At 40.9% G+C, this 22,975-nt stretch overlaps 1 protein-coding gene and 1 long non-coding RNA gene across 6 annotated transcripts in view, besides 1 other annotated feature; one reads left to right on the top strand and one right to left on the bottom strand.

Annotated features, from left to right (window-relative positions):
- Positions 1-22,975, bottom strand: part of SYNPO2 (synaptopodin 2) — a 210,567-nt gene that overhangs the window by 76,407 nt on the left and 111,185 nt on the right. The gene's annotated exons all lie outside the window — the stretch shown is intronic.
- SYNPO2-AS1 (SYNPO2 antisense RNA 1) lies at positions 122-22,959 on the top strand. The gene is made up of 3 exons (XR_939120.3): positions 122-208; positions 6,229-6,290; positions 22,645-22,959. It is a non-coding gene; the product is annotated as an SYNPO2 antisense RNA 1 (long non-coding RNA).
- Positions 16,725-16,774: an enhancer, noted in NCBI's record as "active region_21851". NCBI's record gives its function as "activates an Ori minimal core promoter by ATAC-STARR-seq in GM12878 lymphoblastoid cells {active_cell/tissue: GM12878}" and the evidence as "EXISTENCE:reporter gene assay evidence [ECO:0000049][PMID:35858748]".

Here is a 22,975-nt window from a genome sequence, read left to right as displayed (position 1 = left end):
CATGTGAAATGCATTGAACCAAGCAGTGCAAAATATACAAAGATAAGAACAGTCATGTGCATAAATAACTACAAAACCAGGCTGACTTTGATAGACTCATCAAGTGCTTAGGCCAGGAAACTTACAGAAGGGAAGGAGTAGTTCTAAATGCTGGGATCTGGAAAAGTACTTTGGAATTGGTGCCATCTGAGGTGAAGCTGGAAGGAAGGTAGGACTTCAATTTGGGATGAAGAAAGACACCACTGGCAGAGGGAATGGTTTAAACAAAGGTTTGGAAGCCTGAGAATCCAGAGTGCTGGCCTGTGTCTGGCCTGTGGAGTGTGTCAGAGGGCAGACTGAAAGCAGAGTAAAGGGAAAAGTAGAAGGGTCATTTTAGGGGCTTTGAACGATATGATGAAGTTTGATTTTGTTCCAAAGGCAATGTGTGTAGGATTTTGAGCAGAAGAATAACTGAAGAGGATTTTTTTAATTAAACAGATAATATCTAATGTTTAAACTAAACATTATTATTCTAAATAGCTAATGTATTTATAAGGCACAGCATTTTAAAGGAACAAGATGGTACATAATGTAAATTTTCTCTCTCTTACATCTGCGTCTCCCAGTCACCTATTTTGGAAGCAACTAATGTTACCAGTTTCTTTTGTATGGAAAGGACTGTTTTGGAAAATAGCTAATGGCCAAATATTGGTTGGGCTGGAATGAGGAAGAGGGGATTCATGACAGAGACACCAGTTTGGTGATCTTTTCAGAAGTCTAGGTGATGAAATGAAGGCTGGAAATAGAGTACTCTCAACGCATGTAGAAGGGGGATTCTGAAAAGACATTTCATAATCCTCTGCTCCCCATGTCCAGTCAACTTACAAATGACAAAGGGGAAGTCAAGGATAGTTGAAATTTTGACTTGAGAGTTGAGGAAAGGTAAGGAGGGGAACTCAGTTTGGGACCAGGATATGGGGAGGCTGTGCAGGAAAGATGAGTTCTGTTTTGGAAATGTTTGCCTATGATATAGGACATAGATGTGGAAATGACAAATATCCTGTTGGAAGGGCAGGCACGTAGCTTGTTAGAAATATTACTGAGGAGTTATGAGCAAAGAGGTGGTAGTTAAAGTTGTAGGATTCTATGAGCTCAGTAAAGAACACAGCAGATAAAGGGGCTGAGTACTGAAAAATTCTTATATCAAGGAGGAAGTAGAAGTGGGGCCAACAGAGACTAAGGAGAAATGTTCAGCGAGTGAGTATGCTTGTTATTGAATTCTGATGAAGAAAGTATTTCAAAGGGAGAGAGGTCAGGGGATTTTAGATCAATGCTGCCATCATGGTAATAGGAATGTAATGCACTAAGAGGAAGAGCTGAGAAGAAACCATTGAGCCACCTGGAGATGAGTAGCTCATGGGTGGGGTTTAAAGGGTAGTTTCCGGAGAAAATAATGCAAGGGAAATAGTAAAGGAAGGCCAGAGCATGGGGGTGTCTGGTGTAGACCTGTTTCAAGGAATCTAGTGTGAATGGAGGCAGAGAGAATAGATGCTGGAAAGAGAAATGAGGTAAAGAACTTTCCCCATTAAGTACAGAGGAAAAGGTTGAAAAGAAAAGGGTGGAGGTAGGGAGATGTTTGATGGAACAAGATCCTGGAAAAGACTGAAAGGGATGAATAAAGGCAAAGTTAACAATGAAGGGAAGAAAACCGGAGAAGTTCACACCTAATCTCCTTGGCCATCTCTGCAAAGTAGCCAAGATTACCTCTGTGTTCCATGAGTTTCTGTTTGGAGATTTGCAAAAAAATACAGAAAGCAATTTGATAGGATATTGACTTGGGAGGGAAGAAAGAATTTTCAAGAGTCACTGACGTTCCAGCTGAGGTTGCACTAAAGAAGCTACTCATCTGAGTAGCTTCCATTAGCTTCCAGATCTTTCTTTAATTTCTCCCCCACAACCACAGTCTCAAAAGAACTGTGCTTAACATTAAGAGTTTGACCTCTTTGGACAATCTGGGAAATGTATTCAAGAACTATCGTGTTCTTTCTGTGGCCCATAAAAAGAAGCAAAGGAAAGAATGTAGAATGCCTTCCAGACAGGTTTCTGGAAATCAATGATTGGTCTGTTATTTAGGTATGTATGCAGTGATATTTGGAAAGAGAACTTAAATATCTCTAGCATACTAGGCTGATCAGTTTATTAGCATCCTGTGAAAACTACCAAAAAGATATCTGCAAGTAATTTACTGGGGCAGGATCAGAGATGAGCGGAACCAGTCTGTCTCCCTGTGACTGAGACCACCGCTAGTGATTCTCCAAGTACAGAGGGGCATACCATCCTCCTTCTCTTCTCTTCCCCCTCTTTTATTTTCTCTCATTCATCTGGATTGACCCCCAAAATATGAAGGAAAGGCAAAGGAGCAGCTCCCTGCCAAATTAAAAGAGGTTATAATGGGGACATGTCCATGGTGAAGAACTATGTGCATCCGAGAGGGTTATGAAGACCTGCAAACATACTCATGATTTTGTCCCCAGTCTTCATTGTGCAATATATTTTAGTTTGCCTTTTTTGTTCCTACACTGCACTGGACATTATCTTTTTTTTCAATAGCACTTCATTTCACAGAATAAATCCCTCCCCATATAAATGGTTTACAGCGCGCCTGCCTCAAGCAATTCTGTTATGTAAAAAAAAAACTTTGCAACCACATTTAAAATTAGACATTTATTCCTTCATTCCTAAATGTGAGTTGACTCCCTGGAAGTATGTTCTCATTTTTTGTGGTTTTATTCCCTGAACTACAGTGATGTGCCTGTGACACCCACGCTGCATATTTCCTCCTTAGGTTATGTATTAGTTGGTCAAAACACACTCTCCTAAGGCAATGCCGCCCTCAAGTGGTCTAGTCTGAGAATAGTCAACTATTTTCCTCTGAACGCAAACTGGGTTTCCGTCCAGACCTGTTTGGCTGAAGCATTAACTCCTGAATGGAAAAATAATAATAATTATGTGCAGTTCTGGGGCACAATAATTATGAGGTACATGAGGAAAAAGGAAGCCTTTATTTCCCAAGAAGGCCCCAAAAGACATAGGAGTAAAATGGACGACAGCAACAACCACAAGCTTGTTTTGTTAATTACCAAGTAACTGGCTACCTGCATGTGACCGGGAGGACTAGGGTGGGCTATGAGTTGAACTGGCCCCCTTATGCCTTTGGGGCCAATCCTCAGCTCCTCTAGGGCAACCCCCTAATCAGAACTTATGACATCATGTTCTATAATTAAGGGCATACATTGTATGGAGACAACGCATTCAGGGAAAACATTCAACTCTTCCATGTGGCCAAGACTCTCAGAAGAGAGGTCAGTAATTATGGTAATTACATTAATCACAAGGATTGTTGCACGGAGGAGGGTATTGACATTGACGTGGCTACCCTATGATGAAGCTCTGTGGGGGGTCTGCTCTAATTGGCCACCACCAAAAGTCTCTCATGCCTATGATTAACTTCTCTGGTTGTTTATGTGAGCAGGCTTAGGAATTCTGCTGGGTTGTTCTGTGCAGGGCTTATGAGACAGGTTGGTTGCAGGGCTGTTAGGCTGTTCAACTAGAGAGCCCATCCTGGAACAAATGGGTCAGATAAAAACACACGCTGTGCTGTCCTTCATGGTTTGTTGCATTGTTTGTGGTACTTTGGGTGATTTCAGTTAATCATGAATCTCCTTCAACAAAGATTTTTGCATGGAAAATGCTAGTTCTTCTAAACTGCTCTTGGGCACAGAGATAAACTGGACCAGCGCAATGAGCAGGAAAGAGTGCTTTATCTAGCAGTTATTTGGTGCTGTGGGAAAAGCCCAGAAAAAGGAAACTGTGCTTAGTAACTTGAGATTGAGAATCAGCTCTGCCACAAACTGGGTATGTGACTGTGAGCAAGTCGCTTAACCATTCCAGACTCAGTTTCCACATAGGCAAAGTGTTTCATGTAACTCAGATTAGGGGTTCATAGGCTTATGTGCAGATGGCATGCCACACATGCCACCACCAGGATGAGGCCTAAGAGGCAGCGTCCTCTTTCCCTCCCTTCTTTAACTAAACCAGGTTCACTTTTATCCATTTTATAAATTGGAATCTGAAAACCACTGGATTCTATATATGTGCTTCTTTTCCAGCTACTTTATGCTGTGATAGTTATAGATACTCTGAATGGTGATGCTGACACTTATTAATCAAGTTCTTTTTTTTTCAAATTGTAAGTGAAATCATATATGTCTCTGTTAATTTACAAGTCTAGTTTCTGATAAAATTAGTCCAGTCGGTGGAATGATGGCATGTGTGGGTGTGTGCTGGGGAAGGGGGGAAAAGAAAGAAGTAACAAGGCTCATGGTGACCCCACAGCTCCCAGGAGGATGCAGGCCAAGGAAGGATCTAGGTAGACCTTGCCAAGCAAACAGTAGACAGTTCTAGGAGTGTGGATAGACTCTACCAGAAAAGCCAGCTAGAAAAGGGATGGTTCTGGTCAAGGAATAGTCCGGAGAAGGTCTGAAGGCACATCAGCAGACTAACAAGGCTTTTCACTCTGTGCCTCTAGAAGACATATTGTAAGGTCTGAGTGGGCCCCCAAAAGAAAAATACATTAGAAAGAGTTGAAAATCAAGATTTCCAGAAAACAGATGAAAAGTTTTTACTACACTATACTATATATGGGTATATATGTCATTATTAATAGCAGCCATCATTAAACTAATATGATTTATTTTCATTCAGGAAGCTTTCCCTTTAAGTTAGCTTAAAAACCGCATATACTATGCAATGTATCCAACTTTATTCTTCAAACTCCAAAAGAGTTTTTTCCTCTACAGTGCTTAAAGATAACACAAGTGTGGATGAGTGATGGTTGAGATCCAGTCTCCTTTCTTGAGAATAACACGAGGCACAGACCAAGCAATAGACCAAGGTGCTCAGAATTATGAAATGTCCACTCTTTTTAGTTCAAGTATGCTGAGTGCGGAAGAAACTTCCTGACCTCCTAGTGTTTTTATGTCACCATCTGTAACCTATAATTACAGAGAGATTCTAACTTATTAAAGTAATTGCTCAGACTATAATTCCTGGTTATATGAATTTCTGAGGTACAATTTGTATGGCCTCCTGCAATAGATGCCTCTGTTGCTACCCTGTCATTGTGCTGAAAATATAGTATAGATAATGAAAGGATATCCAACCAGTGAACAAATATTTACTGAGCACATATCATTGGCAAGACATTGTCATAAACAGTACGGAAATACAAAGTTAGGCCAGGGATAGGCCTTGCCCACAAAGTGCATGCAATCTAGTAAAAAGTTGCATGTGTAAACAACTAGAAAATAAGGCAGCCAATAGTAAGTACTTGATAAACAAGATGGTAGTATATGATTCTGACTTAGAGCTGAGGGTGAGATTTTAGGTCATTGGCTCAGGAAAGGGGTTTACAAAGTAAATTACCTTGAGACCCGGCCTTACAGCATACAAAGACTTTTGTAGGTGACAAAATTCTTTCTTTCCACAGGAAGGGAGAAGATGCTAAGCAGTACTGGCAAAACAACGCTACGGCAGTAGGAAAGCATAGCCACTATTCAAGAGATAGCTAAGCAGGAGAGACTGTGGAGGGTAAGGGAAAATAGTAGAAGGCAAGTCTGGACAGGAAGGTCAGAGCCATATTCTAGGGGTGTTTTTGTTTTGTGCTAAGGAGATGAGAGGTGCCATGGAGCTGCAAGCCAGAAAGCAAAATGCACAGAACGATTGGAAAGCGAAAGAGGCCGATCCAAAATCACCTCTGGAGTATATCGCATCAGTACAGGTGTTAAACAATAAAGATTTCAACTAGAGCAATGGCATCAGAAATGATGTAAGAATGCGCTATGTGTGCGGGCCAGTGTTATTGAAAAGCAGAATTCAATTCAAGGGCACTACATAGGATAAAACAATAAGTTGGACAAGGGAGTCCTATACATAAAAAGGTTACAGGCACTTTTCAACAAATGGGCTAAGTGTGTGTGTGTGTGTGTGTGTGTGTGTGTGTGTGTGTGTCATGGCAGGAGTATTTCACATGAAATACACAGGTATATTTGTACCTATGATTAGTCTTAAAGTCCTGGCATCATTTCTCAAAATAAATAACATTTTTTAAAAAATCTGGAAGCAGGGAGATTTGATTGGGCACTGATAATCATTACCTTGTAAATGAAGTTGAATGTTTTTCCGTTTCAGGAAATCATTGGGACAAGTGGAAAATCCATTGGAATACACATATATATAGTAAACAGAACAAGGTAATATAAATTACCCTGATTATTCATAAGCCAACTGGTGACGAGGATAAGGTATAGCCGAAGTTTCCCTGCAAATGGTTTGTCATGTTTTTCTTGTCAAAAAATTAATGCTAGACCCAACTCTTTTGTGTTTTACTGCACTTTTTACTATGCTAGGGAAACGGTCATATTTTATTTTTGATGCAACTGAACAATTAGAGAAAATGATTATCTAGAATTCTAAAAAGTAAATAAAATGACAACAAGATACAGTAATTCAATCAATCAGCAACTGCAGGTTAAATGCTTGCTTTGAGGGCAACTTTGGGCTAAATTGTGGGGAACAAAGGGAAAGATGTGACTTGGCTCATTCCTAGAGAAGCTTGAAATTTAGATGGGCAAATCTGGCCAAGAAGCAAGTTGCAACTAGAAAATCAATAAGTTATGACATCATAAGCCATTGACGTTTTCAAGGAATTCACCCAAAGATCTTAGAAAATTCCCAATCCACAAATTCTACAGTAGCATATAATTCCCTCATAAAATATTCATGCAACGGCAACTTGATAACAACAAAACTATGTTGGACTATATATGAGGTCCTATTTGCTGGGTTCACTCACTTGGCTAGTAACCTACTACCTGGAACCAGGCTTGCAGAACTCCTGAGTGGAAGTTATGTCTTTGCAAAATTATAAGTGGCAATGCCATAAACCTACAGGGTTGCTTTAGAGATGTCAAAAGTGGGATTGCTAACACTGTACAAGGTCAAGCACTACTCACCATGATATACGTTCAAAGAAGGCCTACATAATGCAGAAATTTCTATAGGGCAGAGTTGATGCTCCACAGACAAGGTAGGATTATGATCCAGACATGTCTGATTTCTAGCCTCTGAAGCTCTTCCCTGCCATCAGGAGAATGGCTGGATCCCACCCACAAGGCTAGTGTCTCCTCAAGTTGAGAGGTGACAGCATGCTGGCAGTCCTCAGAGCCCTCGCTTGCTCTCGGCACCTCCCCTGCCTGGGCTCCCACTTTGGTGGCATTTGAGGAGCCCTTCAGTCCCCTGCACTGTGGGAGCCCCTTTCTGGGCTGTCCAAGGCCGGAGCCCACTCCCTCAGCTTGCAGGGAGGTGTGGAGGGAGAGGCGTGAGCGGGAACCGGGGCTGCGTGCCGCGCTTGCGGGCCAGCTGGAGTTCCGGGTGGGCGTGGGGTTGGCAGGCCCCGCACTCGGAGCAGCTGGCCAGCCCTGCGGCCTCGGGCAATGGGGGACTTAGCACCCAGGCCAGTGGCTGCAGAGGGTGTACTGAGTCCCCCAGCAGTGCTGGCCCACCGGCGCTGCGCTCGATTTCTCCCCGGGCCTTAGCTGCCTTCCCACGGGGCAGGCCTTGGGACCTGCAGCCCGCCATGCCTGAGCCTCCCACCCCCTCCATGGGCTCCTGTGCGGCCCGAGCCTCCCTGACGAGCACCACCCCCTGCTCCACGGCGCCCAGTCCCATCGACCACCCAAGGGCTGAGGAATGCGAGCGCACGGCGCCGGACTGGCAGGCAGCTCCAGCTGCAGCCCCGGTGCGGGATCCTCTAGGTGAAGCCAGCTGGGTTCCTGAGTCTGGTGGGGACGTGGAGAGTCTTTATTATCTAGCTCAGGGATTGTAAATACACCAATCAGCACCCTGTGTTTAGCTCAAGGTTTGTGAGTGCACCAATCGACACTCTGTATCTAGCTGCTCTGGTGAGGACGTGGAGAACCTTTATGTCTAGCTCAAGTATTGTAAATACACCAATCGGCATTCTGTATCTAGCTCAAGGTTTGTAAACACACCAGTCAGCACCCTGTGTTTAGCTCAAGGTTTGTGAATGCACCAATCGACACTCTGTATCTAGCTGCTCTGGTGGGGCCTTGGAGAACCTGTGTGTGGAAACTCTGTATCTAACTAATCTGATGGGGACGTGGAGAACCTTTGTATCTAGCTCAGGGATTGTAAATGCACCAATCAGCGCCCTGACAAAACAGGCCACTCGGCTCTACCAATCAGCAGGTTGTGGGTGGGGCCAGATAAGAGAATAAAAGCAGGCTGCCCTAGCCAGCATTGGCAACCCGCTAGGGTCCCCTTCCACAGTGTGGAAGCTTTGTTCTTTTGCACTTTGCAATAAATCTTGCTACTGCTCACTCTTTGGGTCCACGCTGCTTTTATGAGCTGTAACACTCACCGCGAAGATCTGCAGCTTCACTCTTGAGACCACGAGCCCAGCGGGAGGAATGAATAACTCCAGACGCGCTGCCTTAAGAGCTGTAACACTCACTGCAAAGGTCTGCAGCTTCACTCCTGAGCCAGCGAGACCACGAACCCACCAGAAGGAAAAAACTCCGAACACATCTGAACATCAGAAGGGACAGACTCCAGACGTGCCAACTTAAGAGCTGTAACACTCACCGCGAGAGTCCGCGGCTTCATTCTTGAAGTCAGTGAGACCAAGAACCCACCAATTCTGGACACAAAGTCACTAGAGTCAATCCAGTTATTGGGCAAGAAAGATTTCAAAAGCTCTGGTAGGGGACAGGGAGTCTATTAATAAATGGCAGTCTCCATAGCCGGCACTTTTATATTTTTGCAACAAATCTGTAAAATATTTATTTTTCTCCTGACTTTGAGGAAAGTAAGGCTCACAAAAGTTATGGGACTTGTGTCTGATCATACAGCTAGTGGCAGGAGAATGAAATTCAAGTTCAAAGGCATTTACTATGGTAGATTCCCTCTCAGGCTGTGGAGCACATATTCTTAGCCCTGTGTTTTTTGGGGTATGAGACTGGGTCACTTAATGCTGGTTGGCTCTGATCCAGAGTCCAAGTTTTGATGATTAGGCTTCTGCCTTGTGCTAGGGAACTAATCCTGTAACTATATCCCTGTGTGTCTTACTCTTTGTGACTTAATTGTGCCCTTAATAAATTGTGTGGTAACCCAGCTCTTCTATGACAGGAATTTCCCCTTGCACCTCCTCCTCCTTCCTGGGGGTGAAAGTCCTGCTCTTGAATTTCGCCTGATTGCTTGGACTCTGCTACCACTTGTTAGTAGATATCCCAAGTCCTGTCTGTGTGTATCCTTAAGTTCCTCATAATGGTTGTATTGGATCCTTCATCTCTGTTTGTCATTCATATGCCAGCCTATTCCCACTCTTAAAGCTTGGCTTTTTCTGAAAGGAACTTCTTGCCCAGACAACCCCAAATTTTCTGTTGCCATAGGTGCCCAAACTCTATTCTACTTGTTGATTAGTCTTCCTTCTAGCAGTAGTACTACATAGATTTTGGGATCTGTCACCCAAATTATTTGTTACTCTGTGTGCTGGTCTTTGTCTAGCTCCTTTAGCCCAATGACTGAGCGATATGTGGCCCATAAGATAAGTATGACAGAACAGTGGTGGGAAAGAGTCTGGTGTACTCCTGGAGGTGCAGAGGGTGGCCTCACGTGGGTGCAAGGTGTGTGTGACAGGTTATTGAAAGTAAGGTTGGATTACTGGGGTAGAACCATATTGAAAAGAGTTTTGAATGCCAGAATGTAACACTTGGCTCTCATCCAGTAGTGATGAGAAATTATTATTGGTTTGTAAGCACTCTAGGGAGATTAGTCAGTGTGTAGGATGGACTAGACAGGAGATGACTGAAGATAGAGAAACAAGGAAACCATTAAAGTTCTGCAAAAACAACGTGATGAGAGCCTGGATTAGAGTTATCTGTAATAACCCCAGGAAGGAGGTAAGAGACAACATTTGAAGCAAACTGCACCTTAGTGAGAGATAGGGTATGTAGAGAAGCAGAAGTCAAGGATGAATCTAAAGTCCTAATAATGGTGATGCTGTTGGTAGAAGAAAGAAACATAGGGAAAGAATCAAAATCTGGGGAAAGAAACCCTAAAATCCCAGCTCTCTTTTCAAAATTTTCAGTATTAACATTGATTGTATGTGAGAACATTGCTAGCAAGTATCCAAGCAAAGGGATGTGTTAAAATCAATCAAATTGTTGAATTAAGACTAGAAGACAAATGAAAAATCAAGGCTGAACATATCAATTAGGGATAGATGTGGGAGAAGTCATAGGTGTGGACAAGTGAACTGTGAGGGAAGTCAAACCTAATCTGGCAAGAAATCCAGTTTTCCACAATATTCTGGGTCTAGGCCTCTGCTGGGCCAGTGGCCAAGGATGGGCAAGAGAGTCAAGGATGGACTGTATATTCACAAACAAGAAAGCCTGTTATATAACTTGGCTCTAAAAAGAGCCACCACTACAACTAGGTATGGAATCTCTAAGGCCTGAGATACAATACCTGTGTGAGATTTTCTATCTCATCCCACTGAGAAATGCTACAGATGCCACTTGCTACGGCTGATTCCCTTTGAGCACTAAAATTTACTCTCCCACTAAAGGTGTTGTAGAAATGCCTCTTTTCTTAGCTCAAACATAATTATTGTCCAGGTTTAATATTTAGCTATGTTTAACTCTCATTCTCAACTCTCTTTTCAAAAATTAAAATCATATGACCAAGATAAGCAGGTTGATGATTTAAGTCAGCGTCCTCAGCTGTATAATGGGAACAATAATACCTGACTCCTGCTTTTGTGAAGAAAGAAGAATCTTAAAACAGGTCAATGAAGAATTTACTTGTGTTAAACTATGTTCTGAGTGATGTTAGATTGCTTATTTCAGTGGGGTTTGTTTAGGTTTTATGTCCAGTGGCTACTGATTGGTGTAGCCTATATAGCTTTTATGTAACTTCAGGACCAAACTAGGCTTCTTTTAGTTCTGATACTAATTAATATCCAAAATTGTGGTTAGGAAAATGAAAGGAAAGAAGAAAAAAATGTGGCTATTTATGGTGGGTTCTTTTGTGGGGAGGGAATTTTTTGGCTATGAACTGGCATTTGCCCAACAGTATTCCGAGTTCAGTAAATAACTCAACACGCATGGGTTAAATTTCCAATAAAAACATGAAGCTTAAAAAGTAAGTGGAAAGTACTTGGCAAGATACATATTTACATTTGGTGAAGGGAAATTTTTATGGTGGTTAGCCAAACCTGACATGCACAGGGATTAATTCATCCTCACTCATCACAGAAACGAAAACTGCCAGTATCATATCATACGTGCTATGCTGTGGCTTTCTCTTAAAAATCAGCACCACCGTGAAAGGAAGCTGACCTCTGTGTGCACACACTTAGTGCAAGTGTGTGCCTTACTAGAATCATTATACGTATATATGTATAATAAAACTACTTTTTAAAATGCTGAGAAAGTCTTATATTTGAGGTACTATAATTTTAATAATAGTATAATAGAATCCTTGAATTAATAATTCTATAATTGATGGAATTCATATAATAATTAACAGAATTCACATAATAATATAGAATTACTAATTCTATAATTCTGACTTACTCAAAAATTCAAACGTTTTTCACTCTACAGATGCTCCTCAACTTACAATGGGACTATGTCCCACAAAACCCATCATAAATCAAAAAATACCATAAGTCAAAAATGCATTTAATGCATGTATAAGCCCATTGTAAAGTTGAAACATCATAAGTTGAGTTATAATAAGTGGGGACCATTGGTGTGAAAAAGTGGTGTGAATGGGGAGAAAAAGCAGGTGAGCAAGCGGGGATAGCCAGCTTACAAAATATGTATTTCTGATCCTGTAATATCTAATTTGTTTCCAATTTTCAAATGAAAGACACTGAAATTATTAAGCACTCACTATGTGATGAAAAGTAAACTGAACTTTGAGGAGATTTTTGTAGCTTGCCCAAGGTCACAGAACTAGATTTAAACTTAGAGATGTATAACTTAAAATTGTAGGCAGTGGGCAAAACAGTTTCACCCTTGCTGACTCTGTAAACCTGACAACAATCCTAAGAGGACAATGCTAGAAGTGATGGAGAAAAAACAAAGCTAGCACCTAAGAGACAAATTTGCTCGTTTCCCTTCTGAGTTAGTTTAGACAAACTGCCCTTACAGTTTGAAGGGCTTGGAGGAAAAGAAAAAAATACATAAAAAGTGTTTTATTTTCCTATTTGGGGAAATGTAAGGGAATCAGATTCTGCTTGAAATCTCAGAATTCCCTTTTCTTTTTTTTTGAGACAGGGTCTCCCTTTGTCAGCCAGGCTGGAATGCAGTGGCATAATCACAGTTCACTGCAGCTTCCACCTCCTGGACTGAAGCCATCCTTCCACCTCAGCTTCCTAAGTAGCTGGGACTACAGGCACGCACCACTACACCCGGCTATTTTTTCTTTCTTTTTTTGTAGAGACAGGGTCTCCCCATGCTGCCCAGGTTGGTCTCAAACTCCTGGGCTCAAGTGATCCTCCCACCTCTGTCTCCCAAAGTGTACAGGCATGCATGAGCCTCTGCACTCGGCCTCAGAATTGTTTTTATAAGTATAGTTAAATATTATTCTGTCTCCTCTCTTTCTTTTATGTTCTGAGGAAGTTCTCGTCAGAAGTTAGGATAACTCCTACATAGAATTTCTGTGGAGATTAAATAGAGTTCTACATGTAAGCCTACGAAGCTGTTCAAGACCACTGTAGAGTACTATGACGCTCACTGGGACCACACTATGAGGTCTATCCCTGTAGAATTATGTGATGTTGAAGAAACCATTATTTTCCTTCTTACACTTTCTCAAAAGAGGGAATGTCCACCCCTCTCATGGATGGGAGAACATAACACTTCTGGATCTCTCCTGTCACTTCTCGGCATGGGAAGAGTAGCTAATTTGATTAAAGAGAGACTGAGTCATTGAGCCATTATTTTTCAGAGACCATGGTTACTGCATTGAAAAGGAAAAGCTGGCCAGGTCTTTCTCTTACTGCCTCAGACCACTGTGTTCACAGATGATGCGCTCACTTGTGCTTCAGGACCCAGAAAGTAGGCAAACCCTGCCCTAGCAGGCCCAGCTAGCTTTTGTTCTCCAGGCCAGCTTTGCTGTCTATGAATGAATAAGTCAGGTTGCCCTTTCACTGGAGACCCATTGGCTTTAATGTAATAAACATTAATTCCTAAAAGATATGGAAGCGCCATTCTAGCCTCAGGTCTAAGTCACATTGTCCAGTGCATCTTCATTGTGAGTAAAACTGATCATTTCAAGTTAAAGCCTAAAAGGATGGTGGGATGTAGGAGAGCTACTCTAAGCCTTCAACATTTGGGACCTTTGAGATAGTTGCCCAGTCCTCTGCTGTCTTGAAAACACTGGCATAACATAACCATCCATGGATTCTGGCTCCTTGTTCTTAAGAGTCATGGGTTCGCTTTGTTTTCAGTTTAAAAGACACATAATAATTATCTGCTTATTGTTTAGAGTAATTTACTAAACATTAGCCAAAACAGCTAACTTAAGACACTGAGCAAATCTCAGAAATCAAATATAACATATATTCATCTTCATGTCAAAGAATAACATATTGCATTTTAACACGGAGGGAGAGAAGGAGCGAAGGTGCTCACGGGACCTTTCACTAGCACCAGAATGTGCTCAGTCCCAAAGTGACCCCAGCTTTTTGCCACCCCAGAGAGTGTTGGTCTAACAACAAGCCTGTCTAAGGAGACAAAGTATCATTGGGGGTCAAAACAAATGAAAAGATTCTGTGTCCTCTGGAACTCATGTTGACATTTCTCTGAGAAAAACTAAAGTGATCTTTTTGATTGATTACTTTATTCATTCATTTATTGACAAGGAGTTATAAAGCACCCACCGTGTTCTAGTCCTCTTCTAAGGACTTCTTCTCTGCATGTGCAAATGCTTCTGAGATGAAGGGAACCTTTAGAAAGCCTATGTGGTCATAGGCCAAATCCACCCACCTTGGTTCTAGAGTGTTTGTAGCTTTCTCTATTTTGGCAGTAATTGGATATAGCAAGACCAGTTTTCTACTACAGTCCCTTTATAATAATGAAATGAGGTTATCTGCTATGGGAAGTATATTTATCTTTCTATCATATACAGACAAATTTGTAAATAATATGTGGGGTGGTTAAGGTAAAAGCATTCATGCATCTTATCCAAGGGAGGTATCAAGTTATTACAGGGTATATAGTAAAAAAATTGGAGGGATACAAACTTATTGTTTTATTTAGTGAATATTAAAGAGTACTAAGGGACAGAGTTATTCACTAGTGACTGTGTCATAGATCTTGATCAGAAACAATCAAACTTCTGGGGCTCTTGATTGGCACATATGATAGCAAGACCTTTGGAAATTTCTCAATAAAACATTTATTTATCTATATTTTGTTCTGAATAAAATGTGAGCACCTTAGGGTAGAAGTGTAGTTTATTCATCTACATGCTTATGTCTGGTACATGGTAGGCATTTGACAGATAATTGTTAAGAGAATGAAATCTGTTGATAATTTATAATTCAGGAATAAAACAGCTTTCAGATAAAGCTTTTGCTAGGTGGAAAGTGAGTACAAATTACAAGTACATTTCCAAGAAGGCTCATATATGTCGATTATTAATTTTTGCTATCATTATTAAACAGAAGTCCTAGACAATGAACAGAAATTTTACCTAATGCTGTTAATTAATAATAGAAAAATATAATTGAAACAATGAAAGTGCTCAATATTTTCCTTATGCTAATCATCTAATAGTTAAATGCAAACAATAGAACATTCCCATAATGAAATTCTATTACACTTCAGTCTACTTTTTAAAGAGGCCAGGTTCTCATCTCAAATCATTTTTGTTGGCATTTCTACTAATTTTTCATGTTTTAAACAATAACTGATATTTTACCAAAAAAAAAAAAAACCTTGTAATCAACTTCCAAAATAACAGCTATTTTCATATATTAGTGACCTTATAGAAAGAACGCCCAGAACTTAATAAAACCCCAGAAGACTTTAGAAAGTCCTGGTTCACAGGAACACAGTGCTTCTTTGGTTTCAGGCCATTGGCTACCTCATTGTTGGGATTTTCCAAGTCAGATAGTATTACACTTGGAATATGCCAGTGAACATTAATAATCATGACCATAAATGAAAAGTTGGCCTTCTCCAATGGGATATAAAAGACTGGCGCTCCACACCTCCTCAGAGCAGCAGAGGGCAGTGAAAGCACTGGTAATGGATAATATAAACCCAGTATTACCATCGGGAGAGAAACGTACTTTTTTACAAATACATTTTCCATTTTAAACGAACACCATGCATGTAAGAGTTTGGAAATATATTTTTAGTCTCTAATGCAGTTTTGGAGCCATATACAACTTTTACAAAGTGCAATGTAATTTCTATGTAGCATTTCTGGGACTTAGAGTTCAATTTAATATATCAGAAAAATGTTTTAGGGAGTAACACTACCTTGTAAACTTGGTCCAAAACTTAGCTGTACAGTGTAGGATATCATAAAACAGTGGTAACCCACCAGAGACAGAGTGTTGTGTTTATGTGAGTATACAATTTAGGAGCTGCAAGGGCCCCTTGAGGTTAACTAATGATTCGTGTCCCTCCTTTTAACTGACCTGGAAAGACTCCTGGACTTGCTCAACTACATAGAGGCTAAGACAGTGGTCTCCTCACTCCTCTCGTTCTGTGGATTTTCTCGTTCTGTTTTGTTTTCGTTTTTGTTTTGCCACGCTATATTTCATAATACTTAGCAGTTAGATTTATAATCTCTGACGTTTTAGTCAGGGTTCAAAGGCCAAGGAATTTCCACCTGGAAAATGCAGGAGGGCTCAAAAATCAGTCTGAGCTTGCTTCTGCAAAAATTTGTTTTTAACTTTGAAAAGAGAGGCCTCCACAAGGGAGTTATGCCATTCATTTGAAATTTTAAAAATTGCTCTACCCATTGCAAGTCAGTATATACTTAAAGTTCTTTAAAAAGAAAAAAGACCCATCACTCCTCCACCAGGGACTCCCAGAAGACACTGCTCTTTTAACCTCTGCAAACCCACACAAATCCAGTCCCCTTTCCTTCTTAGATTGCCCCATCACTGTATCATGGTCAGAAATTTTACTAAATGGCAAGGCAAATGCCTATGGGTGCTTTCTTAGCTGTGACCTTTCGAAGTCTGGGCTCTAATTTAGAAAATCTGTCACTCACTTTTCCTACTGAGTTGGGAGAGTGGACTGGAGCTCAGGAGTGGCTGAGAAAATGGTTAAATGGTTAATGGTGAAACAGTAACCTCTGGGAGAAAAGACATCTCTGTGGAGCCAGGACATTGCTGTAACAGTTACATTCAAACATTTCGTCTCCAGACTTTGTTGATTTGCCTGGAGCCCATGAGGTCTGATTGGCATTAGCAAGTGCAAGGGCCTCCAGTGACATTCTCCTGACCCTGCAGCAACTTCCTTCTTTCAAGAACACACACTAAGCCTCAGGCCAGGACCTCTTGCTTTCATTTTCACTAACTGGCTTCTCAGCCTGCTCTCTTTGTTCTACATCTTGTGGTTTTTCAGCAAGTCAAGGGCCAGGCTGAAATCCCAGAGCAAATTCTTCCAAGGCCAAACAAGGAAATGCTCAGCAAGTCTTTGGAAACCAATAACCAAGAGCACTAAGCTATGTTATTTGAAAGTTAATACATTGAATGTCACATATTTTTTCACCATAGTTAGACATTTTATAGAATAGCTGTATGTCTTCATTATATGACATTCTCTAATAAAGTTTAAAGTTGCATGGATAGGTCCATGTTTTAAGTTGACTTTTTTTTTTTTTTTTGGTATAAAGATTTTTCAAATCAAGAAGAATTAAAAAGCCAAATCAAGGAAAACACCTTCTGGAGAGAATCTGGTGTTACAAACTTTAGTTAAATGCTGTATATCTTATGATTTCTTAAGGAGATGACTCATACCAAAGGGAATCATCCAAGACATGCCAAAAGCATAGGGGAAAACATGGAACCTTTTTGTCCAGAAACTATCAGGGATTGTGCTATACCCGTTTCCCCAAGTGAGGCAAATGGTTCTCTGGAAATTACCATGAATGGGGCTTCCCCACTGCACTTTTAGTTGAGTTGGCCAAAGAAGCTGCAGAGCATCAGGCCAAGGACCAAGAGGAGCTGTGGTTTTTGTGTGATGAAATGTGCTACCATCCAGCAAGGATTAGGCTCTGAGCACAACCTGCTAGTTTGGAAACCTGAAGCCAGGATTTTCAGAACGCTGGCTCTTAAGCATAACCCAAACAACAAAGAGAAGTTGTTTGTTGGAAAACTCAGTCTCAGGGAATGTCAGAGCTAAAAGGTCAATTGTAGAGTTATCAGGTGGCTCGACGAAAATCATATTTACGTGGTTCCTCCGCAGACTTTTATTTCCTATAGGGAGACAGAGGTAGAGGAAAGAAAGAAGAGGGTGGGAGAGAAAAAAGAAAATGGGCAGTATAGAGTGGGAGCTAAAATGGGCTTGAAATTAACTCAGTAGCTGAGTTCAACCACTGAAACCTTTGTTTTCTGAAATATTAGAAGGGAATAATAGTACACTCCTGTGTTATAAGGTTGTTATAAGAATTCATAGAATTAATCTTTGTAAACTATTTAGTGCCTGTCTGGAACATATCCATTATGCTCAATAATGGTTAACTATTATTACTGTCATTTTAAGTAACTGGATAAAGAGGAAAAAGATGTACTTACTGTGAGGTACAGTTCCTTAAAAACTACCATGTTATTAACTAATCATTCAGAGCTTTGTAAGGAAGGACCTGCTGACCTGCTCTTCAAGTACATGAGTAGATTCAGATACTTTAAAAACTTCATCAATCTGTTCAACCTACATTAGTAAAATCTATACAATCTGGGACAAACTAGGCCACCATTTGTTCAGGTAATACCCAATACAGGAGGAACTAGGGGAGGGGGGTCTTTCACTTGCCAAGCCCTGTAAAACAGTAGCTTTGGGTTATATCATCCCAGAAGTATGTGTGTGTATATATATGTTATATATATGATACATAGCTATATAATTTAAATTTTTATAAATGCTTCATATGAACTAGCAGCAGCCCTGGGGTCCAATCCTAAATCCCACAGCAATTTAGGATCTTGACCAAACCTTCTGCCATACCCTAGCTTTCCTTCTTCAGGCAAGATTATATAGAAGAAGTCCTCCCTTGGGGTTTACAAGGGTAAGTGGGGGAGCTGTGCTCCAGGGTTTCTGGGAAAGACAAACCAACTCAAACAAGCCTATTCTATCTATCGTCTCTACCCAGAAGCTAAAATGGGGAGGCAGACTGCCTTTTCTTTCTCCCTAGAGAGCTCATACCTCAATTCTGCTTTAAAGGTATTGCTTGAGCATTGAGGTATAGGAGCCAGAGGGAGCGATGATGAATGCCTTCTCAAATAAACCACTTTTTCTATTTCCCGTTTCTTTCTATCCACTCAAATGAATGGTTGAGAATTTTGCTGCCAACTTTTGCCCGTGAGTCCCTCCGATCCACCTAGATTAATCCTGGTTGTCCTATCAGACTTAGCTTTCCATAATCCACAATAGTCTCCCATCCCAGAATGAGGTATGGGCTTATTTATTTATTTAGACAGGGTCTCACCGTGTCACCCAGGCTGGAGTGCAGTGGTGCAATTATGGCTCACAGCAACTTCAACCTCCTGGGCTCAAGCAATCCTCCCACCTCAGTCTCCATCCAGCTAATTTTTTTTAAAAAAAATCTTGTAGTGACAGGGCCTCATATTTTGCCCAGTCGGGTCTTGAACTCCTGGGCTCAAGTGATCCTCCCGTCTCAGCCTCCCAAAGTGCTGAGATTACAGATGTGAGCCACCATACCCAGCCCCCTCTACTTTTTGATATCATCTTGTACGTACTTCCCAGAATGTAAATCCATGAGGACAGGACCTGTGCCATCTTGTACACGGTTTTATTTCCAGCACCGATAATAGTGCCTGATACATAGCAGACATCCAGTAAATATTGTCAAATGACTGAATAAATGAATCATAGTGCAAGTAAAGAAGGAGAAAAAACAATACTGTGTAACCATAATTGCCTTCTATGGAGGCTAGACAGTAGATCCTGGAACATAAAAGTCTCCTTGCCCAAGCACCAAGATGGATTTAGGTATGAAAAAAGTGGGCCTGGATTTGAATTTGGGGGATGCATGAAAAGAACAGAATTACTCTGTACAACAGACAGCAAGAGCATCCTGGAGCTGGAGCTTGAAGGAGGGTAGAATGCAGTGCAGGAGGGATGATGTGAGGAGTAGAACCGGGAGATGGATGAGAAGATTGGCAGGCATATGGCTGCTGTGTGGGGTAAAGCAGACAGTGAGAAGGCCCTGGTTGGGGTGGGGGGGTGCTGGCAAATGGACTCATAACAGGAATGTGCCCTCTGTCATTTGAAGTTTATTGCTGTGCTCTCCCATGACCCAAAAACTCTCAGTTCAAGTTTTTGCAATATATTATCAGCTTGGTTTTTATGATTGCTTTGTGTGTGGTGTAGGGGAGGGAGAATAGATGAGAAAGAGTTGTTTCCCAAGCTTGAGTTTATGCCAAGACAGAGATAAAGGAACAGCTACAAGATGCACAGTACATTAGAAAGCAGGAAGTCAGGGCAGAGCTGACTGTGAATGCAACAGAAATCTTGGGAGCAGCCTTTGGGCTTCGAAAGGACATGAAATGGAAGCTTTGTGCTGATTCCAGTCAGATCTCAACGAGCCAGGAGGTCCCAGCTAACACCTGGGACACACTATGTATTCCACATAAAGGTTAATTTTCTTGTCTTTTTTTCAGTCCTTTGGACTGAGTTTCTTGATAGCAGGGGTTTTCTTGTTTGTAAGAACATCTACATCTCCAGCACAATGTCTAACAGACAGTAGTTACTATTTATTGAATAAATAAATGAATGGCTTTACCGTAAACTTTCTTCCTTGGAAACCACCTAAGATTAATGAGAAAAAAAATCAAATCAAAGAGTGGGAGGGAAGAAGAGAGAGAAAGATGGAGATACAGGTGGAAGTAGAGAGGCAGAGTGAGAGGGAGAGAGAAATAGTATGTCACCCTAATAAATAAAACCTGATGGTTTTCTCAGATAACATTTTTTCCATATCTCTCAGTTTTTAATTGTTTTTTTTTTTAATTTACTTTTGAGACAGGCTCTCACTCTGTCACCCAGGCTGGAGTGCAGTGGTGCAATCTCAGCTCACTGCAGCCTCTACCTCCCAGGCTTAAGCAATCCTCCCACCTCAGCCTCCCAAGTAGCTGGGACCACAGGCACAAACTACCACACCTGGCTAGTGTGTGTGTGTGTGTGTGTGTGTGTGTGTGTGTGTGTGTGTGTTGTGTGTGTTTTGTAGAGACAGGGTTTTGCCTGTTGCCCAGGCTGGTCTCAAACTCCTAAGCTCAAGTAATCTGCCCGCCTCAACCTCCCAAAGTGCTGGGATTGCAGGCATGAGCCACCACACACAGCCACATCTCTTATTTTGAAAAATCTATTATTTATCTTTATCCCCCAAAACTTCCTTGGCACCTGCTCCATATGCTAGAATTAGGTTAAATGGAGTGAAAAGCCTGGTGGATAATCTTGACGGGTGGTCCCCCTCATGCAAAACCCATGTACGTCCTAATAGGATGCAATCCCATCTCAGTGAGAGCCATGCATCACCTGGCCAGTATTTGATTAGAAGGTTGATTGATTGATTGATTGCATTTCGAGGACAGACTGTATCCAGGACAGCTGTGGCCTCCATGCTACTATGAGTTTGCCTAGAGGCAATGGTTAAATATGAGTAACAAGTCTCCTAGGCCTTTATGCAAAAAGCTTAATGCAAGTTGTTTGGTCAGAGGATCTGAGATTGTACCTCTGTAATTAAAGTTTTATAGACTATGGAAATAAATCATAACAGCATGTACTAAAACTAATTTTTAAAAATCAGTTTATCCTCATTTCCCTGAGAATTTGATCAACTGGTAAAATAAACAAGTATAATAAAATCTGATTTTTTTAAAAAAATGTAAAGATGTGAGCTGGACACGGTGGCACACACCTGTAGACTCAGCTACTTGGAAGGCCAAGGAGTTCCAGGCCAGCCTGGGCAACATCACAAGACTCCAACTTCTAAAAAAAGTTAAAGATGCAAGACTTAAAAATAAGTTTTTCAGTCCAGTCTAAATACATAAAAAGTCTAAACATCATAAGCTTTCCTTATTATTTCAGATTTATTCAGCATTGAAGTAGCAATTAATTACTAATAATACAGATCAGTAAGTCAGGTAAAATTATTTCTTAGTCTGGTGGCCTGTATGAATGTGCTATTAAATTAACCCACCTTTGAAATTACAAATATGATAAAAGTTTATTTTTCCTAGATGAAAACACATTTCAGTGGGACAGAGACTACTGGTCTGTATACTCACTGTAATGATCTAATAAGATAGACACTTGCCTAGGGTGCCTTGTGGAAAGTATCTGACTTTGGGCACAAAAATTTACTCTCACCAAAGGTGTTATAGAAGTGCCTTTTTCTTGGAATTAAATGCAATACAAATTGAGTTCACTCTCAGATATGTTTAACTCTTATTCTCTATATTACTTTGAAAAATGACCTCTCCTTCCCTTCTGTCTTCATATTATGGGACAAAATATACCACCACCAGGCAAGCTCTGTGTGTGGCTGCAGTATAGTTCTTATATCATGGCTGCACCCACAATTCCACCTGGTCTTCAGCTTACTTGCCCTCAGATTCTGAACATTACAGACAGTTTGCATTCCCCAAGGCCAAGATTATGGCTAATGGGTGGTAAGGAGAAAAGCACTTGTCATTCTCCAAAAATATGAGCTGCCAACAAAATGTGGATAAGCTCAAGGAACCATTTCCAAACATGGAAGCAGGACTGGATCAGATTGGGGCAGATGGAAGCTTTTCCCAGTTCTTGATTTTGCCAATCTCCCTAGCTGATTTCTCAATCACTCAACACATGATGAAAGGGGACAAAAATGATCTCTATTTCCAACACTTTGGAGCTATTAAAAATAGTCAAAGTTCTCCTAATAAAAATGTTAGAAAAATTAGGGATTTTAGGACTATTCTAAAACCCTTTATAATTAGGAAAATGTCCTAGCAGGGTTAATGTTTTTAGAAAGTAAGAACTGAATACTTTAATTATTATTATATTATTCCATGTGCTCCCAACTTTGCCTTCTCTGTAGGTACCCGTTATCGCTAGGTTTATATTTTGCTTTGCAGGAACATTTTTAGCTATTCACTGATTAATGAAAGGCACATCTGCCTCTAGTAAAAAAGCATAGTATGTCAAAGATGCATTAACAAGACTTCCTTTATAAATTGGCTATTTTCTATCACCCTGGGGCTACAGAGACTTAGTTTCATCTTGTTTTCCTATTACTTTTCTAATCATTTTTCTCTATTTCCTTTGACAGCTCCTTTTCAAAAAGCAGTCCCTCAGTGAGCTCATCTGCTCTCAGGAATTCATCCATTGCTGCTGTGCGGATGCTTCAAAGTCTAACCACATGAACCATCAGTTACCAGCCATCTACTACCTGATGAAAGGGAGCAAAAGCGAACACAGGGTGATTGCTCTTATGTGTGTCTTCAGAACAATAAGTTCAAAGATAAAAATTTTATCTTTCTGACCAACAAGATGGGCTGAACATCCCAAAGCCTCATTCTGTCAGTAGAGACAAGATTTAAATGGAGGTAACACCCACTAAAGAGCCATATACTGAAAATGGACAAGGGCTAGAAAAAATA

Source organism: Homo sapiens, chromosome 4, assembly GCF_000001405.40.
Source record: "Homo sapiens chromosome 4, GRCh38.p14 Primary Assembly".
In the NCBI taxonomy this organism is placed as follows: domain Eukaryota; kingdom Metazoa; phylum Chordata; class Mammalia; order Primates; family Hominidae; genus Homo; species Homo sapiens.
This window is presented reverse-complemented; position numbering and strand designations above follow the sequence as displayed.